The sequence below is a fragment of the Homo sapiens genome, chromosome 13 (genome assembly GCF_000001405.40).
Source record: "Homo sapiens chromosome 13, GRCh38.p14 Primary Assembly".
Taxonomy (NCBI): Eukaryota; Metazoa; Chordata; class Mammalia; order Primates; family Hominidae; genus Homo; species Homo sapiens.
The window spans coordinates 51,043,220-51,066,362 of record NC_000013.11 but is presented as its reverse complement, the minus strand read 5'-3'; the positions used below and the strand labels follow the sequence as shown (position 1 = coordinate 51,066,362).

The following is a 23,143-nucleotide window of genomic DNA, read 5'->3' as shown; positions in this document are numbered from 1 at the left end:
GGCAGTCTTCCTACAGGAGCTTAGGGGTGTATGCTTTTCTGTGCTTGCAGAAAGGCGTTCTGTGCCGTTGGCACCTCGGGGAGAAGCTTCAGGTTTCAGGCTGAACTCCTGAGAGCTTAGCATCTGGGGTGTGCACGACTTGGGGTGCCAGGCAGCAGGTCCCACTTGCTCACCAGAGGGGGCGGCCTTATGCTTTACCCCGCAGGTGACTGAGGACCCAACAGTGTGCTCCTTGCTTGGAGGCTAGTGATGAGCTCCTAATTTCACTGTGGACTGCCCAGATTTCTACAAGACAGGCTTCTGGAGACGCTGTGGATTCTCTCCTGAGTGACTAGGGGCTGGCAGGAAGGGCGGGCGCTTGGTGCTGCATCTCAATCCCTGTGGCCCCAGGAGCAGCTGCGGCAGGAACATGGTGAGCAGCTCTCAGCACCCTTGGCCCTGACTTTCCTTCCGCTTCTGTTTGTTGAGCACCTATTGTTCAAAATGCCTGTTATCTAAGAGGCTACAGTTTCCTGAGCGCTTACTATGTGCCAAGTACCTCACACGTATTACCTCATTTAATGCTTACTAAAACCCTATGAGGAAGGGACCATTCTCACCCCCATTTTCCAAATGAGACAACTGAGGGTGAGTAAGATCTGGCTTGAGTCAAACAGCAAATAAGACTTGGGGTCAGCAATGAGCCCTCATGGTCTAACTTCAGAACCGTTACTCTATAACCCCAACAACCATCCTCCAACACAGCAAACGGTATTATGTCCACTTTAGCTCATGAGCAGACTGGGCTCAGAGAGGTTAGGCAATTTACCCAAAGCTGCACAGCTACAAGTCACAGAAACAGAAACCCTTCTGGCTCCAGAGCCCAAACCCTTTCTCCTAAGCTGTACTCCCTCTCTGGGCTTACTGAGACTGCATTTTATTTTGAAGCCACATTCCCCAGCCAATGCCTGGCAGGCACGGTGAGTAGGACTGGATATGGAATGTGAAAACATCTTTACAGGAGAAAGATTTGGCTAAACCTTAACATTTTCAGACATTTTAATTGCTTCTTTGGAACGCAGATGTTTTTGGGGGTGCTGCAGCCATGGCCCAAGTAGCCTCTGAAAGATTTGGGTGTCACCAGCAAATGAGAGTCCCTGCCTGCTTGCTGATCTCACTGGTTGAGCAGCACTAGTTCCAGATGGTTAGAGAACTTTGGTGCTGGCTTGCCATTCTTACTTATTTCAGTGAGGCCCTCAAATGTGTAGGGAGTGTGTCCTACCAAGTATCCCCCTCCACCTGGGTGTGGGCAGCAAACACCAAGGTCCCCGCATATGCTCGACACATCGTGTGGGATACATTGCCTCTTTTGCTCTCTCCAGGGGCAGAGAAAGTCACCTGATTTCAGTGGACAGGAAAGGGACATGTTTATAATCAGTAGAGGGTGAGGGGGCCACTCTCTGATCTATAAGCTCAAGGTCTCTAAATGATTAACTCTGGTACCAGCTTGGGGAACTGCTGAACACCAAAGACAAATGCTGGACCACATGACTCAATGGCCCTAAATTCATCAAACAGAGGCACACTATCGGGGTGGTCATGACCTAGAAGTAGGTGATGTGGTTATCAACTAGCAGCAGACTTCAAATTCCCCACTGCCTCAGTTTCCCTTGTTACACACTAGAAGTTTGTCTCTAGTGCTCGGGCAGTGGGCATGATGTTTTATTTGATTGGGCATACTTTTGCAAAGATTGCTAAGTTGAACAATTGCTATCTTTGTTTACATTGGATTGATGTTGAATAACGGGTTATTTAAAGATTTTCATGAGACTTGAGGCTTCATTTCAGTACTTCCTTGCTCGATAAGTGTTTGTTAAATACCTCCTGTGTAGCAGACAGTGTCTTGGCACTTTAGTCAAAATATAGATAAATGACACTTACTTCCTGACCCTGAGGAGCTTGCAATTTAACAAAGGACAGGAAAAAAATATATATATACATACACACATATGCATTTATATGTGTACATGGCCACATATAAACATACATAATATATATAAGTATATACAAATACATGCACACCCATACATACATGCCTGTGTGTATATATATATGTGTGTGTTGACAGATACAAAACCCGAGCGTGTGCATGTGATAGTTAACACACCATCTCTGTGGTGTTGAGGACACAGAGGCATCCAGCAGTGAGCCTGACAGGGAATGATGGCTGGGTCTGGCAGAGGGAGAGGAAATGGTTCTGCAGACCAGGCAGTATCCCAGTAGCCTCAGAGCCTGGCCTTGCCCTGGGCTGACTGGGTGAGAAAGGAGGAAACTCTATCCATTGAAGAAATGACATCTCTGTTTGGGGAAGGGTGGTAGGCATTTTGGATGAGCCTAAGGCAGCAGGAGTAGGTGATAAAATGAAACAAATTAAGACAGTTCTAGAGAGTGCTCTGAATGCCAGGCTAGGGTGCGGGCACATATTGGGGAGCGTAGAGGCGGGACAAGATGGAGTAAGGAGTAAGGATGACATTGGTGGTGGGGAACTGGAAATATAGCCCAGTAGGACAAATATTTCCATTTCTGGAAAATAACTACCAGAGTTTAGACACTCGCCTTCCTGTTGGCACTGGGCTCTTTCACTTTAAGAAATTCCTATATATATGAAAATCCAAACTTATAAAATAAATCTGGAGCCTGATATTTGTGTGACAAAAGAATTCTTCCCTTCAGGAAGAAATATTTTGAAAGCTGAGCTCACACAGTGCTTTCAAACATAACTCAATCACCCTGCTTGTGTTAGGAGCCCCGAGTTGCGGAAGGCAGGTGGCCTGCCTGGGGCACACTATCCCTCACTAAGCAGAAGTGTTCATGGGTCCTCCTTTTTTTTTTCTCTGATGGAGGAAGAAGAAAGAGCACAGATTAATGAGCAAACCCAGAAGACAGTTCTTTCTGTTAACCTGGTGCTGTCTTTCTTATTGGAGTTTCCTCCTCTGTTTTCCTGCACTCGTTATATTCTCCACACACACACCCAGGTATAGATTCATTTTTATAAAGAAAAAAAAAATCATCCTGTCACTGCCTTTTTGGAATCGACATGAAGTGTGTGCCCTTCCTTTCTGCCAGGTCTAAACACCTCCATGCCACTGGTGTGTTTTTGAATTCTTTGTTCTAACAAACCAGTTCCTTATTTCGGAGAGGATTATAATTGACAGTAAATACTTTCTTTAACTTTCTCTAATTACAATTTGATTTCAAATGTAGTTCATATGTTTTCTATATAGAAATAACCCAAGCGGTGGGGTGCCAGGTTTTTCCTAAGTTGGGAATGAGCAGAGCTATTAAATTAAATCACGAGAAACAAGGAAAAGGTATAATTAGTTTCTCCAAGAGGATGCCATTGCACATTTCCTAAAAGACATGAAGATGTGTATGACTGGGGATTTCATGCCTCATAATATATATTTTTCTTCTGGTTTTGTATTCTAGTATGGATTTATCAACACCTGTCTGCAATCTCTTGTGATAGAGAAATTTGGTGAAGAAACATGGGAAAAATTGAAGTAAGTATGTGAAAGGGAAGATGAAGTATCTCTGGAGCAACTGGTAAGCCTCCAGTGTTTTAAAGGTTACAGCTTTTTACTGACCTTTTGATTAAGCCAGTTAGTTGAATGAACCCATCATAAAAGATACAGCTGGTTCTCAAAGAGATTCATTTACTAGGGAGACCAATTCCCGTACCGTAAACATATGAATTAGATACAGGAAACACCTGGTACACCTTATCTGTCTTCGATGAAGGTATCAGTCTTGATTACCAAAATCAGCCTTAAATGGGATCTCACTGTAAATAATACCAACATTATTTTAACTTTTATCTCATGAATGAATTCTCATTTTCTCTTTCTAATCACAGAAGAGAGAGCAACTGCATTATTTCCATTGCACATCAAGGGAGCTGCCAAACAGAAGAGGGGAGATACCTTTTAAGTTTGACCAGAATCACTTCTTAGGTGTTCTTTGGTTAATTCTTAGTTTTTCTCCTCTGCCTCTGTCCAGTAACCCCTTAATGTCATCATTTATATCTCCATATAGTCTCCTGTCTGACTCTTGCAATCTTGTGCTATCTGTCTGCTTCCCTAGAGGCTCCCAGACCTAAAGTGTTAGAAGCTGGGGATGAAAGTGCCTCAGAAATCACTTGATCCTAGGAAGGGAGAGGAAAACAAAAATATGGAAAAATGATTGGCTTCCTCAGTTCATCAATGCCATGCAAATTAAAACAATTAGGCACTGCTTTGCCTATTAAATCTCCAAAAAATTTAAATGATAATAACCAGTTCTGGTTAAGATGCAGCAAAATGGGTAATCGCTGATGGCATAGTAAATCAGTGCAGCCCCTTTGGAAAGCAATCTGACAACATGTACCAAAAGCTGTGCAAATGATCAAATCCTTTGAAGCAGTAAGTCCATTCCCGAGAATCTATTCTCTTAGAAATGCACACCTTTGTGCACACATATATGCATATATATGCAAAAAGATATAATGTAGCTTTATATTGATAAATAATAAAATAAAAATTGTCTTTAGTAGTTAAAAACAAACCAACAAACACATAGAATGACAAAAGAAATATGCATCATGATATAGTGATTGCAAAGATCATGAAGCAACTTGCAAATTTTTATGACAATACTGTTAAAAAAAATAAGAAAAAAACCAAAAAAGACACAAGTTACATATCTACTAGGTAAATTACACAAATGAAAAAGGGTTAAGAGAAAGACCAAAATAATAACTAATAGTGACTGAATTAGATAAAATGCTGGATGATTTTTTTTCCTAACATCTATTTCCCAAATTTGCTATGTTTTTATTGCTTTTGTAATGTAAAAACAACTTAAAATGCTTAATGCAAACTTTCCCTCCTCTTCCTCCTACCCCCATTTTAAAAATAAAATAAATCGAGCTGAGAGCACAGTGACTTGCCACAGGTAGGTCCTGCCCAGACCCATGGCCCTGCACAGGCCTGGTCACTGCAGCCCACTGCTCACACACAGGACACCATCAACCATCTTATTCTCGGGAAGGCAGCCCAGGGGTAAATCAGCATCTCTGGGGTAAATTGCTTACAGCTCCACAAGTTTAGATGGGAAAAAGGAGCTCTGGCCTCATAGAGGCGAAGAATATTCATTTCCAAATATTTTAAGTAGGAGCACTGAGTAACTATGATCAGGGAAACCTTGGACTCGTGGACCCTTGAGAGATTATTTAGCCCAGATCTTCACAGTTGACAGGTGAGGAAACTGAGGCCTAGAAAGGTTAAGTGACTTGGCCAAGACTGCACAGCAAGGGAGCAACAGGGCCAGGATGCGCTGTCAGAACCTTAAAGTGCTCCTTTTCAGCCCCCTATGCGGCCGTGGGAAGAGAAGCATCTGAAGACTTTTTCATTTTTTTATTTTTTGTAACAGCCATTGCGTTGTAAAGGCTAAACTCAGTAAGAATAGAGGACAGGAAAGAGCAGTCTTCTTATTTTAAGCACTTACTTTCGGCCATGCCTCTTATATAATGGTCTTTTGAAAGCCCAACAAGAACACTGCAAGGCAAGGTATTGCCCTGCTTCACCAAAGAGGAAACAGTCCCGGAGAGGATGATGCTGAAGACTGCACAGTGCATAAGGGGGCTGGGGTGGGGACACAAATCCAGGTCGGTAACTGCAAAGACTCCTTTCTATTAGGCCATTCTACCTGGGGAAAGGAAGAGCAACTGGCAACGGGAATTCATTTTCTTTTTTTTTTTTCTTTTTTGGTGAGACGGAGTCTCACTCTGTCACCCAGGCTGGAGTGCAGTAGCGTGATCTCGGCTCACTGCAACCTCCGCCTCCCAGGTTCAAATGATTGTTCTGCCTCAGCCTCCCCAGCAGCTGGGACTATAGGCACCCGCCACCACGTGGGAATTCATTTTCAGGGGCTCTGGGTGAAATAAGAGAGGTGTGTCTTTAAACATGTGTTTACTGAGCTCCCATAGTAGGCCTGGTACTATGAAAAACACTGGAGGATTGAAGAAGCAAATAAGCCTTTTGGCCTGGATGGCTTTAGAATCTGTGGAAACATTACAGGTATGCCTGGAACACAGGAACTAGGGTGCTGAAGGGCCATGTCAGATGGGAAACTGGGATCGTTTCCTCTGCTACAAACTTGACAGGGGCAGGTCAGCTCCAGCCATGCACACCTGGGCCTTCCAGAGGATCAGCTGCTCCTATGCAGAGGGCAAGGCGTCTTAGGAGGAGGAAGGAGAGATGGCAGGCTCAGCCAAGCTGTTGGGTGGACACTGCATGGTGGGGTGGGGAACCAACTTGGGAAATAGGATACTCATATTCTCAGAAACACGGCATTGTTGCAAGTCCTTAGGAAGCAGTCGTTGGATTCAGCGGGGGCTCTGGGGCTACAATGCTGAACTCAAAGCCCAGAAGCAAGGCCTACAGTCTGTATGACCCTGGCATGGCACTTAACCACTCTGCGACTCAGGTATTTCATCTGAAAAGAAAAATAATAAAAGCAGCTAACCTCATGGGGTTATTGCAAGTGTTAACTGAGATTGATGATACAAACCAGGCACTTAGAAAAAATGAGTGGCCCAGGATGAGCACTCAACAAATGCAAGCTGCTGTTGCATAATGGCTGCTTCAGTGCTTGGTATTGGCTTATTTTCAAGATGCTCGTCCTCACGTGGGTTGGGGGAGAGGTGGGGGGCAGTGGCGTGCGTCCCACTGGACTGGATTTGCATCTGGGCTCTGCTGCTCAGAGCTGTGTGATCTTGAGCGGGTTGCTTCACCTCTCTGAAGCTCTGTTTCCTCATTGATAAAGGGGGAATAATGTACCTATCTTCTAGGGTTAAGGAGAGAATTGAGTGGTGCAATCTACACAGAAGTGCCTAGTAGAAACTCAGTAAGCATCCTTCCTCCTCTCTGAGATATAGGTGCTACATTAAGATTACATTATACTTGACATTATTAGAACCACTTTGCTGCTGGTCAGATAATGATGCTTTCCATCTTGAAGAAGCAGATATTCCTCAAAGGCTTTCTCTTTGCCCAGAGGAGACCTTGCCTCCTAAAGTTAGTGTGATTTGCTGAATGGCTTTATCTCCACTCCTCATTTCAGTCTGATCTCCCTGACGCCTAGTGTGGGCCACTGTCTAGCCCTGCCTTGAGGAACCCTCATAAATGCTAGGGACCAGGCCGTGAAGGGGAGAGATGGATTTTTGTTGATTGATTTTTGACTTACGAATTTTCTACCATGTGATTTCCTGGTTAGGACATTTAGCCTCAGCTCAGCTGCTGCTTAGAAGAACCTGTCCTGCCTAGGAGAAAGGCCAGGGCTCTGGAAATCATTGAAAATAGCCAGAAATAGCCAGAGCACTTAGACATGAGCAGAGGTAAAATGACATGTTCAGCTCTGCCTACGACAGGCAGCTGAGATGTGTTGTTTAAGGAGGGACTCTCACCCTCCGGGTATGACTGAACACAGATAGCATGGCCAGCTGCTGGAACCTTCATTGGTTGAGATATTCAGCATATCTTTCCAAATCAAGGGGGAAAAAATCTCCAGCTTTCCATGTGTAAGTGGATGGAAGAGACTTTTTCCTTTTTGGATCCTTGGTGCGACCTCTCTGAAAGGCTGGAATGTCATCTCTTTCTTCCTTTAGAAGAGCAGTTCTCATAGCATTCCCAAACAAACAGGAATCCACATGACCTCCAGGGGGATAAAGGACATTTGAATGAGGGTACAAGAATGCAAGGGAACCAGAGAAATATGTCTGGGAATAGAGAACCCAGCAGGGTACATCCTGCGCTTGTGTCATTAGGTTTTATCTCTTTCATCTTGAAGTTTCAATTATCTGCTTAACTGGGTCTCAGGATGTTTGTATACAGAGCACTAGACATCTATACGATTGCATTGGAAATGCATCTTTAAGCCAAAAATAAAGCCAATCTAAGAAGTCCACCAGCTATGAAAATTGCATCATATTAGAATTTACTAAAAAGAAAAAAGAAAAAAAAACTAGTGCAGAAAACTCAGCTTTTAAAGGAGAAATTAAGGTGAGATTATTGGCTGTGCAAAAGGATTTGCTTAGGCCACATTTAAATAACAAATTCCCTAATGCTTTTAGAGTAGAATTTCAGCTGAGAAAGAAAAAACCCATCAATTCCTACAGAAATTTTAAGAAGAAATGATTAGGTAAAATGAAGCATGTTTCCAGACCTTATGACATAAATTTTATCTTAACATGAAATAGGAAACAGATGTTTCTCCTCCTTTGCTTGCAGTATTTTCCTCTCTTATAGTCTAGATTTGTAGATTTCTAATTATAAATCACTCTTTTTTTTTTTTTTTTTAAGAGACAGGGTCTCACTCTGTCACTCAGGCTGGAGTACAGTGGTACGATCATAGCTCACTGCAGTCTCAAACCCTTGAGCTTAAGTGATCCTTCCACCTCAGCCACCAGAGTAGCTGGGACTACAGGAATGCACCACCATGTCCAGCTAATTTAAAAAAAAAATTTTTTTTTTTAGAGACAAAATCTCTCTATGTTGCCCAGTCTGTTTGTGAACTCCTGGCCTCAAGAGATCCTCCTGCCTCAGCCTCCCAAAGTGCTGGGATTACAGGTGTGAACCACCGTGCCTGGCCTAAATTGCTTGTTTATAATCTTTTGGTTAAAACCTTTATTGAAATTTAACAATGAGAAGGAACTAATGGATTAGGAAGAGTAAGGCCTTTGGAATCAGATAAACCTTTACATTTTGCCTGGATCACTTACTTGCTGTTTGACTTGGGCAAATGTATTTATTCAACAAGTATTTAGCTTCTAGAATGTGCTGAACAAAGTTTCAGGCACTGGGAATAGAGGCAAAAGGAATAGGCAAGTGCTGTGTTCCCTGGGAATGTATTCCAATGGGGAGGACAGTAAACAGGCAAATAAACAAATAAATCTCAGGTTGTGCAAAGAGCTAAATTTAGAGTATTTAGTGGTGACTGGGCAGAGAAGATGCCAGTTGCCCTGAGCTGGTTAGAGAAAACCTCTTGGCAAAGGTAATGTTTGAACTGAAAGGAAGGAAGGAGTCAGCCTCAAGACAGAGAAGTTATATGTGTTCCAGAGAAAATGGCAAGTGCAAAGGTCCTGAGGTCAGACTGAACTCAGTGAAGAAAAAAATCTAACATGCTTGGAATATCATATGTGAGGAGTCTGATAGGAGATGAAGGTGGAGAGGGTTTTAGGGATCAGGACATATAAATGTGTAGAAGATGAGAAGGAGCTGAACTTTTCTTCTAATGACAATGGGTTACTGAAGTTTCTGAGCTTTGGTGTGGTCACTTGTGAATGGAGATAATCATGGTGCTCACCTCATCCACTTGTGAGCATAGGTGAGGTGGCTAACATCCCCTTGGCACTTTGTTTGCAGAACTTAGTCCAGGATTTTACTTCCAAGGATCAGCAATCCACTATGTAAGCTAATGTTTAAAGGAGTTACTATAAAGATTCAGAAGACTCTAACAGAACTCAATTGCAGGAAGTACAGATAAATCTCAGAGGAAACAGAAAGTCAGCAGGTCTGTTTCCAACTCTGCATCTCCCTTCACGTTTACTCTATTTTCCTGGTTATCTCTTCTCTCTGAAAGTCTTTTGATTTCTGTTCCTTTTTTTTTTTTCTGTCACCCAGGCTGGAGTGCAGTGGCATGTTCATAGGTCAGTGCAGCCTCAAATCCTGGGCTCAAGTGATCCTCCTGCCTCAGCCTCCTGAGTAGCTAGGATAAGAGGCACATGGCACTGTGCCTGGTTATCTTATTTTATTTTTTGGTGAGACAGGCTTTTGCTTTGTTGCCCAGGCTGGTCTCAAACTCCTGACTTTAAGTGATCCTCTTGCCTCAGCCTCTCAAAGTGCTGGGATTACAGGTATATGCCACCATGATTGGACTTAATTTCTGTTTCTTCCAAGCTTTTCTATATGCCCTTTGGATTCAAGAGATCACCATCATCAGACTGGCTCAGTTTCTCAGTGCCTCAATTGCAGATGCCTGAGAAAGAGGGTTTGATGGTCTTTGGTCTGGAGTCCATATGTATCCCATTCAGATGGACTTTGGAGGGTGGGGTCTCTAAGAAGAGGTAATGGGTAGAGCCATCAGGACTGACGTATATTCTCCATTGTATAAATAAATACATGAAAACGGAATGAATGATTGGATGATTCATGTGTGTATGAATGGAAGATGAATAAATGAATGAGAGGTGGATGGATGACTACCAAGCCCAACCAACCCATTTAGGAGAGAGGTGGGTGGGATTACATGGCTTCTCTCTATGTCATGGGTTCTTAACCAAAGGTTCATGGATAGGCTTGAGAAGGTCTGAGAACCCTCCGAAGTCATCTATTAAAATGTCGTGTACATGTGACTATATGTATTTTCTGGGGAGAGGGTTCATAGTTTTCATCAGAATCTCTAAGAACTCTACAATCTAAAAAAAATCAAGGAACCCTGATTATGAATCCTTGGGATTTTTGTTCTTGCTAAATAGGAAATGCTGGCCGGGCACAGTGGCTCGCGCCTGTAATCCCAGCACTTTGGGAGGCCGAGGCGGGCAGATCATGAGGACAGGAGTTCGAGACTGGCCGGGCCAACATAGTGAAACCCCCGTCTCTACTAAAAATATAAAAAAATTAGCCAGGTGTGGTCCAGCACCTGTAACACCAGCTACTTGGGTGGCTGAGGCCAGAGAATCGCTTGAACCTGGGAGGCGGAGGTTGCAGTGAGCCGAGATCGCTCCATTGCACTCCAGCCTGGGTGACAGTGTGAGACTCCATCTCAAAAAAAAAAAAAAAAAAAAGGCTGTTAACATTGTGACATCCTGAGAAGCATTCCTTCGAGCCCAGTATATCGCAAAGCTAATTGAGCCAGAAAAAGTCAGAATTCATTCATTCCCTTTTCTGCTATCCCTCGTCCATCCAATTGACTCACCAAATTTCTCACCCTCTCTTCAAGACTGAAAACCCCTGGCCCTCCATGTTATCTACTTTTCCCATAAATAAAGTCTAGTTTAAAAGTAGCTGAAAGCAGAGAGTTTTTATTTTTAACTTTGATCCAAAAATGTTGCTTGTCTCCCCACTTCTGTCCCTTTCCTGGCCACAAACATTTTTGCTGGTTCATCTAGCTGCCTGAAACCACAGCCCCTCAGAGCCAGAAGGGCCCTTAGAAATCAATCTGGTCAGAGCATTTCACCTGGAGGACTCAGCCTCCAAAAGATCATATGAGAATATCTGTGGGAAATTCTAAAAATATAGTGAATATTATAATATTAAATATACAAAGCAGAAGTATTTTTTTCTAACAAAAGCTGTCAAAGGTAAAGCTTGAGAAATACTTTTGTTTAGTATGACTATATGGAAGATAAATTTTCTTCTTCCTTTTTTTTTTTTTTGAGATGGAGTCTCGCTCTGTTGCCCAGGCTGAAATGAAGTGACGCGATCTTGGCTCACTGCAACCTCTGCCTCCCAGGGTTCAAGCTATTCTCTTGCCTCAGCCTCCTGAGTAGCTGGGATTACAGGCATACTCCACCACACCTGGCTAATTTTCTTACTTTTAGTGGAGACAAGTTTTCACCATGTTGGCCAGGCTGGTCTCGAACCCCTGACCTCAAGTGATCTGCCCACCTTGGCCTCCCAAAGTGCTGGGATTACTGGCATGAGCCACTGCGCAGGGCCTGGAAGATAAACTTAGTAGGAGTAGAAACAGATATCACGAGGCCTGAAGCTTATATAATTTGGGAAGCCTCCTTTAAAAAGAATATAATTACCAATAAAAATTTAGCTACAAAAATAAGTACTCTTCTTAGAATTAAGGAAGAAAACTTTAAAGCTGACAGATAACATAAACATCAAAAGCTGGAAACATGTTTTTATTGTTAGTATCATAAATTAACTAACCCTCTTTTATAATACTTTCCTGCATCTTTGGCTGTATTTTGCTTTTTCTGTTCATTGGACAATGATTTTATAATGTCATTTTCTATAAAGAGGATAGAATGAATATTCTAGCATGGCTGGCTGAAAATTGTATTTATTGTATTTTGTTTTCATTGTTAGCTTAGACAAATTTCTTTATGCACATCCATAACTTTCTCAGCAGTTTCTTGCTGAAGTGTGCTTCTTTCATGTTGGCAAGTCCTGGGAAAACTCCAGCGTTTGATCTCCCTCGACCTGTTCCACCCATCTCCCCTACTTTTACGCAAGTCCTCTTGGACCAGGCGGTCCCCACTGGGAATGCGCAGCCTCTCTTTCAGATGCCTTTTTGGGGGTTAGAGTAGAGTCTGGATGTGTGTTGAGTCTACCAGAAGCAAGTGGTCCTGAGGACTGGGTGGTCTGCAGCCCCACCCACAGGCATCCAGGACCACTACCAGGGCATATAAGGTGACCCCTCAGGCTGGGGATGGCTTCAAGCTAGAGGGGGCCAGGTGAGGCTGCTTCCTCCCTGTCCTGGAAACCTCAGCTTCATTAGCTTCCAAAGCAAACCTGAAGCACTCTTGATTTAAATCAGAAGTTCTTAAACACTTTGGTATTCAGAAGCCTTTATACTCTCATAAATTATTGAAGACCCCACAGAGCTTTTGTTTAATCTATGGGTATTTATGGTATTAGAAATTAAAACAAATTAAAAAAACATTTTTAAATTTATCTAAAATAATTATATGTTATATAATTATGCTGTAATACATAATAGTACATGTTAGTGTAACATTTTTATGATAACTATATTATTCAAATAAATTAATGACAAGATGGCATTACTTTACAGTTCTGGAAATCTCTTTTAATATCTGACTTAATGGAAGTAATGGAAGTGGGATTCCATCTTCCGCAATGTATGTATTCTGTGATATGATTTTGGTTGAAACTTGTGAAGAAAATATGGAAGGAAGAAGAATTTAATACTCTTCTCAGATAATTGTGGCTATTCTTTTAAACCTCACAAAAGCTTGACAAATCGTATTTTCTCAAAGGTCAGTTATAATGTTGAATCTGTAACTGTACTGATGACCTTCTTCGTACTCTGTTATATTAAAATCTCTTGATCTGTGTTACACTTGGATAGAAATTTTTTCGCATCATTTTGTACTAGCTTGCATGAGTTATTTGGAAACTATTAGCTCACTGACTTGTGCTAATCTTACAAATGTTGACATGTTTCACTATACAATATCAAAATTGCATTTGTCAATATCATCATCACCTTAGCCTCTAAGGATTGGGATGCTAATAAGCTTACAGTATAAGATGCAACTTTTTTCCCCAAACTTGAGTTTTGTCATTGGCAACACATTCTGCCAGTTATTTTCCTTGAAGTGACAGGCTAACTTTGTTATTTTCTTAAGAGAATGTGTGCCAAATATCCAAGTCTGAGTAACCATAGTTCGTCTGTCAGTGGTTTTTTAAGTGGAAATGATGTTCCATTAAAAAAAGTGGCTAATTCATCTCATAACTCAATCGTGTAAGTACTTTTCCTGGAAGTGACCATTCACACTCCTGCATATAGGAGAAGTACTTTATTTGAGTGCGTACTTCCCATTCTGTTACACAAAATATTCAAAAGATGTATACTCAGGGTCAAGATTTCATAACATTAGTAATTTTTACTACCTCAAAATGAACAACCTAAAGTAAAACTGGCATTTTTTTTTACTGCACATATGTGACAATGAGGGATATGATGACTATAAATAATATACTGAAGATTTAAAAAAAGAATATAATAGTTTTGTGCCACTGTCTTGATTCATGCTATAAGGCACCAAATTTTACTCACCAATGCTTATGTGCCATTAGTGCAAATATGAATCAGTACAAAAGGCAAATAATGTCTTAATTTGGTTTTGAAAATAGTTTGGCCTCATGGATTCCTAAAAACACCTTAGGTATTCGCAGGGGTTCCATGGGTCATACTTTGAGAACTGCTGGCTTAAATGCCTTAAGCATCCTTCTAAGTGAATCAGAGGTCAAGGAAGGAGACATCATTGGTGGCTGAGGGAGAGAAGGGGAGGACCAGACATGACAGTCTTCATGACAATGACCTAGTTGAATACTATCTTTGTAAAAATGAAGAAATGGAGGCACAGTGAGATTTGCTCCAAGTCATCCAGCTAGATGGTGGTAGAGCCAGGGTTAACTCCTAGGTCTCCTCCTGACACACAGAGTCTGTGAGCCTCTGTCAAGTTAGGTCTCTCACCGAAATTATCTTACAATTATTTATTGAGTACTTGTTGTGTGCCAGGTACAGGGCTAGGTATTGAAGATATTAAATCAAATGACATTGTCATGATCCTTCAACTTGGTAGTCTAGGAAGCATGCAGATGGGCAAATCAATTCCACTCGCAGTTAGCACGAAGACAGGTGATACAGAGAGCACGGGGGGCTCAGAGCAGGGACGCCCGGATCTGCAAGTGGCTGAGAATGTCCAGAATCGGGATTCTGACACTGAGTTGGGAAGGAAGAATCAAGTTAGCCAGATCAGGGAAAGTGAGAGCTTTTCTAGTGGAGCAGAGCCTGTGGGAAGGCAGGGAAGAGAGGAGTTTGAGTAGCTGGAGGAATGGATGTATGGGATAAATGGCTGGAGGTGAGGAGTGGGTGCAGAGGCTGGGTCGTGGAGGCTGGGTATGTCCACCTAAGAAGTCTAGATTTTATTAGGAAAGCTGTGGGGAGCCAGACAGGCTAGCTGGAGGACAGGCTAGAAAGACAGTCTGGTGCTTTTTCTAAATTCCAGATGGTTGTGACACCAGGACAAATCTTTTGCCTCTCTGGGCCTCTCTTTCCCCAAGTACACCTTGAGTCACACAGTGACAGGCAAGTTTGTTATATGAATTCCCCACCTACCATTAAGAGAGCTGTTGAAAAAATGAGTTCCTATGGCTTAAATTGATCCCATTCTCTTGGCCTGAATCTTGCTACAAAGTGCTGTTCATTTTTCCTATGGGCTTTATGGCTCACCCTGGACTCTGAATAACCATTACATCAGTTTAGTAAGGTTGAACCACGTAAAATGTATCATTTGTAACCTGTTGCCTTGCCAGACTGAATCCTAAAAAGTGTTTCTGTGCAGTGGTTTTCAAACCTGGACAGTCGTCTGAGGCGAGTGGTTAAAAATATATGGATTTTCAGACACTACCTCCTGGGGCTCAGGAATCTGTGTATTTATTTTGCCCTGTGAGTTGCTCTGCTATAGGCAGCCTGGCCCTGATTTTCTGCTCAGATATTTTGGGTATCGCTAGTTGGAACTAACTAAAGAGGAACATATATTGAATGCCTGCTGGTGCCAATTAAACACTGATTCCTCAGTCTCCTGCACATGGATGCATACAAGCACCTATGTGGCTGACACTTTTCATGTTCCATGACAGGTACTCCTCTTTGTGTGAGCTGGAAACATCTAACTCTTACTTCATTTCCCACATTTCTTGCATCTCCAACTCGATCTCTTCAAAATGCTTTCCAATAGTCATTTTTCTCTCTTTCTCCTCTGCATATGAGAGGCTCTGTCATCTCATTGGAAGATATCAATTGGTTTATTTATTTAAAAAAAATTCTTGGTGAACATACTGTTTTACTAAAGCAGCTTGAATGACTACATATGCAAGTGTGCACTGGCTCTGTGGGAAATGTTATATGCAGGATCGTGGAGATCAATAAACAAGGCTGAAAATCCCTGTATAATCATAACAGTCTGGGCACGTCTGGCATCCCAGCAACGTGCAACATATATACAAACCCAAATAAATATTTGACACTAAAATATGATCAGTTCAGCCTACAGGAAAGAACAGGCTGCCAGATCCAGAGATTGGTGAATGGGTGGTCCCATCAGAGGGCCAGGGAGCGCCACAGAGTTTGTTACATTTCTGACGGTCCTGGAGGTCACTTAACCCTTTCTAAGGTCTTCAGAACACATTATGACAATGTGTCAAGTTTAAACTGGGGTCACGTCCACGTGTTTCTGTTTTGCTTATAGGTGCAGAAGGAGGGCACATGTTTTCACAGAGACTTGTGGGCCCCTGGGGGCGAGTAAGAGGCAACTCCAACATGGTGGAGAGTGCCCCACTTAGGCAGCAGTGGTGGTGTACAGCACTCCTCGCCCGAGCAGGCCTACAGCCGGTTTCTCTGAACAGCTGCCTCCGAAGATGCTTAGAAAGCACTGTATAGGCATGGGCCAAAACAGGAACTCTTACAGGTGAAGGAGAATTCAAGCAGCTTCTAGTCCTAGAAGCTAGAGTCCTAGATCCTCAACTGCGTGCACAAGCGTTTCTGGGGCTGTCTGAGAATCCCCAGTGGATGTGTGTGTAGCAGAGAGGTTAAAAAAGATGGAGAAACACAAATCTTGCCCAGTACCTCCTCTATTTTACGGATAAAGAAATCAAGGCCCAGAGGGGGAAAGTGGTTTTCCCTCAGAGCTTATTTGTGTAAGGTATAAGCTTGGAACCAAAGTCTCCTAAACCCCAGCCCTGGTCACCTCCTACTCACTACGCAGCCCCTTTGTTCTCATTGTCATCACAGCTCTCCTAGGATCTGCATGGTGGTTCTCATTTTCCCCAAGCTCTTTCAGATTTGTTATCCTGTTTTATCCTTACCAACACTCCTGGCAGATAGGAAGGGCAGGTAATAATAATTGCCACATTTTACAGAGAGGAAGATGAAGTCCAGAAAGATGATAAAGAGATAGTTAAATTTAGTGATGAATAAGGATCCTCAAACATTAGAAGGTTAGGTATCCAGAGGAGGGACCAGCCCAGTCTGCATTTTCCTAAAGGGTAGAACTAAGGCCAGTGAGTAAATTCCCAGCAGCACAGTACAGGAGTGGTGTGGGCTTTGAAGTTCAGAGCCCAGATCCTTCTCTTGTCAACCGGTGACCATAGCAAGACATTTAATCCCTCTGAGCATCAGCCTTCTCAACAGTACGAGGAATGATAAGTAATAAATTGGTCATCTCTTGGGCCAAAAGCACATGCTTAATAAATAGGAGGTATTATGAGGGCCCAGAAGGGGGTTTCATTTGAACATAAGAAAGACGTTTCCATCAAAGAGAGCAGTTGGTAAGTGGAATGTGCTGCCTTGCAAAGGAATGAGCTTGTTGTCACTGGAAGCATTCAAGAAGAAACTGGAAAACCAGCAGTCAGAAATAGCGTGCAGTAAGAAATTGGACATTTAGAAAATTGGATATGTAGAAAATTCCATACTTCTCGCAGTGTCAAGATTCTATGGTGTGCTCTGGATAAGCTTGAATGCTCTGACCCCTCTCTGTTCTTCAAACATGTTCTCTGCTGCCTAGAAGCCTGTTCTCTCTGTCCAGAAGGCTCTTCTTTGCCTTTCCATCCTTCAGTCTCAGCAAAATCTCCCTTTCTTAGAGAAGCATTCCCTGACCAACCTCCTTCCCCCATTTGTTAACTCAGTTGCCAACTACAGTTTGATGACTCACATAAGGGCCAAGCCAAGGGTGCAAGTCTCAGACTCCCAGGCTAAGCCTCTTTTCAGCAGGCTTGGCTATCTGTTGAAGACTAAAGTCCATCCATAACTCCTGCAACATAGCCAACTACACTGCAAAACAGTGAGAAACTCAAGCAGCTGCTCTACCATTCAGAGAACAAGACTCTATGACCATTGAGTTCCAGTTTACTACCATATATTAAGTTCTGAACATGTGCTCAGTACAGTGCCACTTGCTGGGGGTTCAAAGATAAAAACAGGTCACAATGCTCATCCTCAAGGAGACCAGCTAGTGGGTAAGACCAACAATCTTTATATAAGTTGAGGAAATGCATAGCCTATCCTGGGTACTTGAGAAGGGGTCTCCGGGCTCAAACTGAGGTCCAGGGAAGGCTTCTTGGAGGAGTTGACACCCAAACACTCCAGTGTCTCACATTCCTTATGATCAAGAAGATTATTGTTACATTATATCTTGCTGGGTCAGTGGATATATTCCTGGGGCAAAGCTCCAGCTGATGAGCATTCACTGCACCTCGATTTATCCTCCAGAACTTCTGCAGAAGTACAAGATGCCTTCATGACCTACACAATGTATGATGACGTCATCACCATTAAGCTCATCCAAGAGGCCTGCAACATTCTGGGTAAGTATGAAAGAACTTGTTTTGCTTTCTTAGAGCTGCTGTAACAAAACCCAGTTGATTCTCATTATTTGCATTGGTTATAGTCTATAAAGCTGCTGCAATCCTGAATTAGTGAATACTGCACCATTGTTCCTAGGGGAAATACAGGGTTAGTTTCCTGAAAGTCTCTGGTCACAAGATTTTTGCCAACCAATCAATGCATAACTTTGTTTCATGTGTGCTTCTGTGAAAAAAATACGTATTTAATATACATAGTTGATTCATTCACATTGAACTGCTGGCCAACTGTACTGTAACTCATGCCTGAAGGAGGCTAATCTAACACTGCCTGTTCTCTGGAAGGATGTGACAGTCTTCTTGTGCTTAGGGACACTAGATGGCACTTCAGCCTACATTTGGGGGTCATTCTAAACAGCAAAATCACCAACAGAAAAGCAGAAAAATGTGAAAAAGATGACACTAAATAGACTGCAAGAAGGACACTTGGTTATAGTTCAAACTAAAATAAGAACATAGAGCACAGCCTTGTTCTACCTTGGCTAGAAGCATTCATGTTGGCCGGTGGAAATTCTGTGTCTGTGAATGACCTTGATAGCTCTGTGAGTATTGATTTCGGGCCTACAGATAAATAAGTAGCCAAATTTGTGAATATGAAATCCTCAAATAATGAGGACCGACTGTATCACAACCTGGGTGGCTTAAAACTACAGAAATTCGTTCTCTGTGGTTCAGGGGACCAGAAGTCCAAAATCAGGTTGCTGGCAGGGCCGTGCTCTCTCTGAAGGCTCTCAGGAAAAATTCTTTCCCTCTTCCAACTTCGGGTGGCCCCAGGCTTTCCTTGGCTAGTGGCGGCATAACTCCAGCCTCTGCTTCTGTCTTCACGTGGCTGTCTTCTCCCTGTATTTGTGTCTCTGTGTCTAAATTTCCATCTTCTCATTAGGACATCAAGCATATTGGATTTAGGGTCCATCCTAAATGACATCATTTTAACTTGATTACCCAATTTCCAAACAATGTCACATTCACAAGTTCCTGGTAGACATGAATTTTAAGGGGCACTCTAACCCAGTACAGGGCTCAGGTATGACCCTTTCCATTTGAGTGGCCTTAGGCTTCTTACAGACAAAAATGATGAGCAGCACCGTCTGCACCACTGCCATCATGTTTGGCTTCGATGTTGGCTTTACAGGTGTTGCAATACCTTTAGAATGGTCTGCTATGATTATCTCTGGGTGTCAGGAGGAACAACATTGAGAATCCGCCTATGCCACCTACACTCGTGCTTACCTGGAAATGGACGTGGGGTGCTCTGCAGTGTGCTGAGGGCCCTTCCCCGATCTGCTCTCCATCGCATATTTTCCCATCTGCCTGGACATGAAAATGCCATTGACAGGGTCATAGGAGGGGGACCATGTGTGGATGGTCCCACTGACAATGTACGTGTCCTCCCAGGATGGTTTTTCCTGTGGATGTATTAGCACTGGATTTTTTTTATCTTGTTAATCTGCTCACTCCCCAGGCCCAGAGGGGACAAGGTACAGGACAAAAAAAAAAAAAAAAAAACAAGAAAAAAAAAAAAGAAATTAGCTCTGCCTCTTTCTAGTTTAATGACCGAGGACAAATGACCTAAATAGTCACAGTTTTCTCATTGGTTGAACAAGATCTAATCTTCAGAGTTATTTGGAGGATTAAATGAGAAAATATATGTGAAAATATCATATGTGGTATCTGGCATATAATAGGCTTTCAAAAAACATTCCCTCCCTCCCTTCTTCCCTCATTCCCTCCTTTCCCTCACTCCCTCCCTCCCTCCTTCCCTTCCTTTCTTCTTTCTTCCTTCCCTCCCCTTTGTGTTTCCTGGGCTGCTGTAACAAAGTACCAACAACCAGGTGGCTTCAAACAACAAACATCAATTCTCTCCCAGTTCTGGAGGCCAGAAGTCTAAAGCCAAGGTGTTGGCTGGGTTCATTCCCCTGGAAGCTCTAGGGATAACTTGTCTCTTGCTTCTCTCCCAACTTCTGGCAGTTGCTGGCACCGCTTAGCCTGTAGACACATCTCCCCAATCTCTGTCCCCATCTCCACAGGCCTTCTTCCCTGTGTGTTCACGTGGCCTTCTCATATTGACAGCAGCCTTTGGATTTAGGGCCCACCCTAATCCCTTATGTCCTCACCTTATTTTAACTAGCTACATCTGCTCTCTTTTCAAATAAGGTCACAGTCTGAGGTTCTGGGTGGACATGAATTTGGGGGCACACTATTCAACCCAATACACCCTCGCTTTCTTTATCCTTCCTTCTCACCAGCACTGAGTACACAATGAGCCAGGGCAGGCCTGAGGGGAGGGAGGGGCAGGCAGCCTCCACCGTCCCAGGCTCCAGGGATCTATGCAGGAAGCCGAAGCCCCCCTCTGTACCCAGGATCTTTGATGAGGTTCCTCTTTCCCTTCCCGTTGAACTTCCTTCACCCATTCCTCATAGGCGGTGCTGCCTTGGGTCACTGTGAGAGTGTGAGATGGCATTTAAGGATGATCTCACTCAGACGCTGCATCAGGCCTCATGCTTGTCACCTGGCACCGGGTATAGCCCTGTTGGAAGTGTCAGGCTAGGCCCAGTCCCTGGGAGTGTGCAAGCTGGCTCTTATGCAGCCTGCAGAGGGTCTGGCAGCAGGGGCCATGGTTTTGAGTTGGTTTCATGGTGCCTCTGAGGGCCTAGCAAATTGGCTTGCCATTCTCAGGAACAATTTGTGAAATGATATAGGTTTAAGCCAGTAGCAGGTATCACAGTCATCAGCCCAGCAGGCGTGCCTGAGAACACACCAGGGCAGCTAGCTAATGCTAAGCCCGCAGGGACAGGCAGCTTCTCCAGAGCGCAGCAGTGATGTGTAAAGTGCCCGTGTCGTGTGAGGTATTGAGCTTATTTCCCTTCCCTTTGGATTTCAGAAAAATTATCTGATGATTAAAAAGATAGTGCCAGCTTTACTTGCAGGCAACTGGATCTGACAGATGAGAGGGCTTTTCCCATGGCTTTCACATGGCGCTGTGACTGATATCTACATCTCTTCTCATGTTCCTGGTCATCTCCTGGATGCAGAAGACCTTCCAGGGATCCATATCCAGGAGAGGCCCAAAGTCTCTGCCAAGCTGGGAGGGGGAAGTCATTGAGGCTGAGGAAGCTGGATGTGTGTGGTGCTCAGAGTCCTCTCTGGTAACAGGTGGTCACCTGCTTCCCCTGCCCACTCTGGGCCACCTGCTTCCCCTGTCCACTCTGGGCCACCTGCTGTCTCATCTCATCATGTTGCTCTCTTGGAGCCACAGAGACAAGCAGGGGCCAGAGTTGCCAACGAGGCCTGGCAGGTGATGGTGATCATAGCTAGGAGGAATCTGGTGTCCCAACTGGTTGTTAAAACAACTTCCAACCAGATGTATGTTAGCCCCTGGTCACTTCCCACCTGCATCTTTTGATAGAACCAAGGTTGTGTCTGAGGCTGGAAATAAGGCACAAGGAGTGAAACAGTCATTTGCTCCTTCAGCTCCTGGAACTCAGGCGCCAAGAGCAGCAACACCTCCCGGATGCTTCCTAAAGCCAGTTCCCAGCCTGCCACCACGGCAGCACTTAGAGGGAGGACACAGGCAGCTGGCAGACAGGGCTCACGTGGCTTCCCAAGAATCACGGCTGGGCCTCTCCCCGAATCCACCAACCAGCTCCGCTCTCCAAAGAAGCTTACAGAGAGAGATTCTAGGCCAAAGCTGGCCCAGGAACTGGGAAGTGTCAGTGATACCTGCAAACCTCACCCCTATCCTGTCCAGCCTGTCTTGGGGGGACTCCCAGGCCCTTTTGTCTCTCCAGCAGCTAACACCAGGGGAGGTTTCTGTGGGGCTGGGTTATCAAAAAGCACACAGCATCGAGCTTTCTGCGCTCGAGTCTGAGAGCGGGATGTGTCCTCTTTACAGCACTGTGCTGCTCCCAGGGGCTGCAGGCCTGGAGACCTGGGTTCTCGACTCAGCTCTGCTCCCCAGCTATGGCCTTTTTGTTCAACAGGTGGCAGCAGCACAGCCACCCCAGAGGGTCACCTGTCAGCCTTTATGCTTGACACACCTGCCAAAGAGATTACCTGTTTTGTTTTCTTAAGCATCACTTTAATTTTTTTTAAAAGTATGCGATTACGATGTTAAATATGCTTTTGCAAACCAGACAGACAGATCCCCTCTTGATCCTAATATGTCCACCCCACATAGGCAAAGCCTAGGTGCTGCCCTTGTGGCTGACAATTCTGCACATCTGTGATCCTAGTGAGGGCAGGAGGTCCACGAGCAAGTCCAGTGGTTTGCAATTACCTCCTTTCTTCTAGCTAAGTAAGAGGAGCATCTAGTAACCTTCCTTCCACAGGAAGAATACAAATCATTAGGTGGAAATTCTGTAATGAGAGATGACTACTTTTGAGCTGAAAATCTGGAGTTTTGACAGAGCTTAGGAAATAAAACGGCAAAAAAGCTTACAATGGGTAGTGAAATTAAGCCCACCTTTAGTCTTTTCTTGATTTTATTCCAAGGGATCCCAGCAGCAGAAGGACGTAGTGGCTGTATCGTGTAGTCTTGATTTGGTCTGAGCCCTCTGCGAAAGAACATCTCGTTGTTATTCCAGAATGAGAATGGAGGGTGGATTCTTTTCCGTCACACCAGCTGTGTGACCTTGGGCTAGAATTTCACTGAGAGTTGATCTCCTGCAAAAGGAATAATACCTTACAGGGTTGTGGGAAGGAATGAATTAAATCAAATAACAAATGTAAGGCACTTAGCAACATGCATGGCACATACTGGGTGTTTGGTAAATGTCAGCCAAATGTTGAATCTGAAGGAAGGATGGGGGTATTTCTATGTTTTGTACCTCTAGATACTGTCCCTTATAAGAAGACAGGCTTTGCTGTTCACTTCAAATGGCTGTGGTAAAAAATTATGTTCCACATGTACACAGGGAGGGGAACAACACACACTGGGGCCTGTT

At 43.7% G+C, this 23,143-nt stretch overlaps 1 pseudogene across 1 annotated transcript in view; it reads left to right on the top strand.

Moving 5' to 3' along the window:
• Window positions 1–205: 205 nt before the first annotated feature.
• The window catches only part of GUCY1B2 (guanylate cyclase 1 soluble subunit beta 2 (pseudogene)), a 71,647-nt pseudogene continuing 48,709 nt past the window's right edge, over window positions 206–23,143 (top strand). Inside the window, exons 1-3 of the transcript NR_003923.2 lie at window positions 206–412; window positions 3,469–3,542; window positions 18,049–18,143. The product of NR_003923.2 is annotated as a guanylate cyclase 1 soluble subunit beta 2 (pseudogene) (transcript). The remainder of the gene's footprint in view (window positions 413–3,468; window positions 3,543–18,048; window positions 18,144–23,143) is intronic.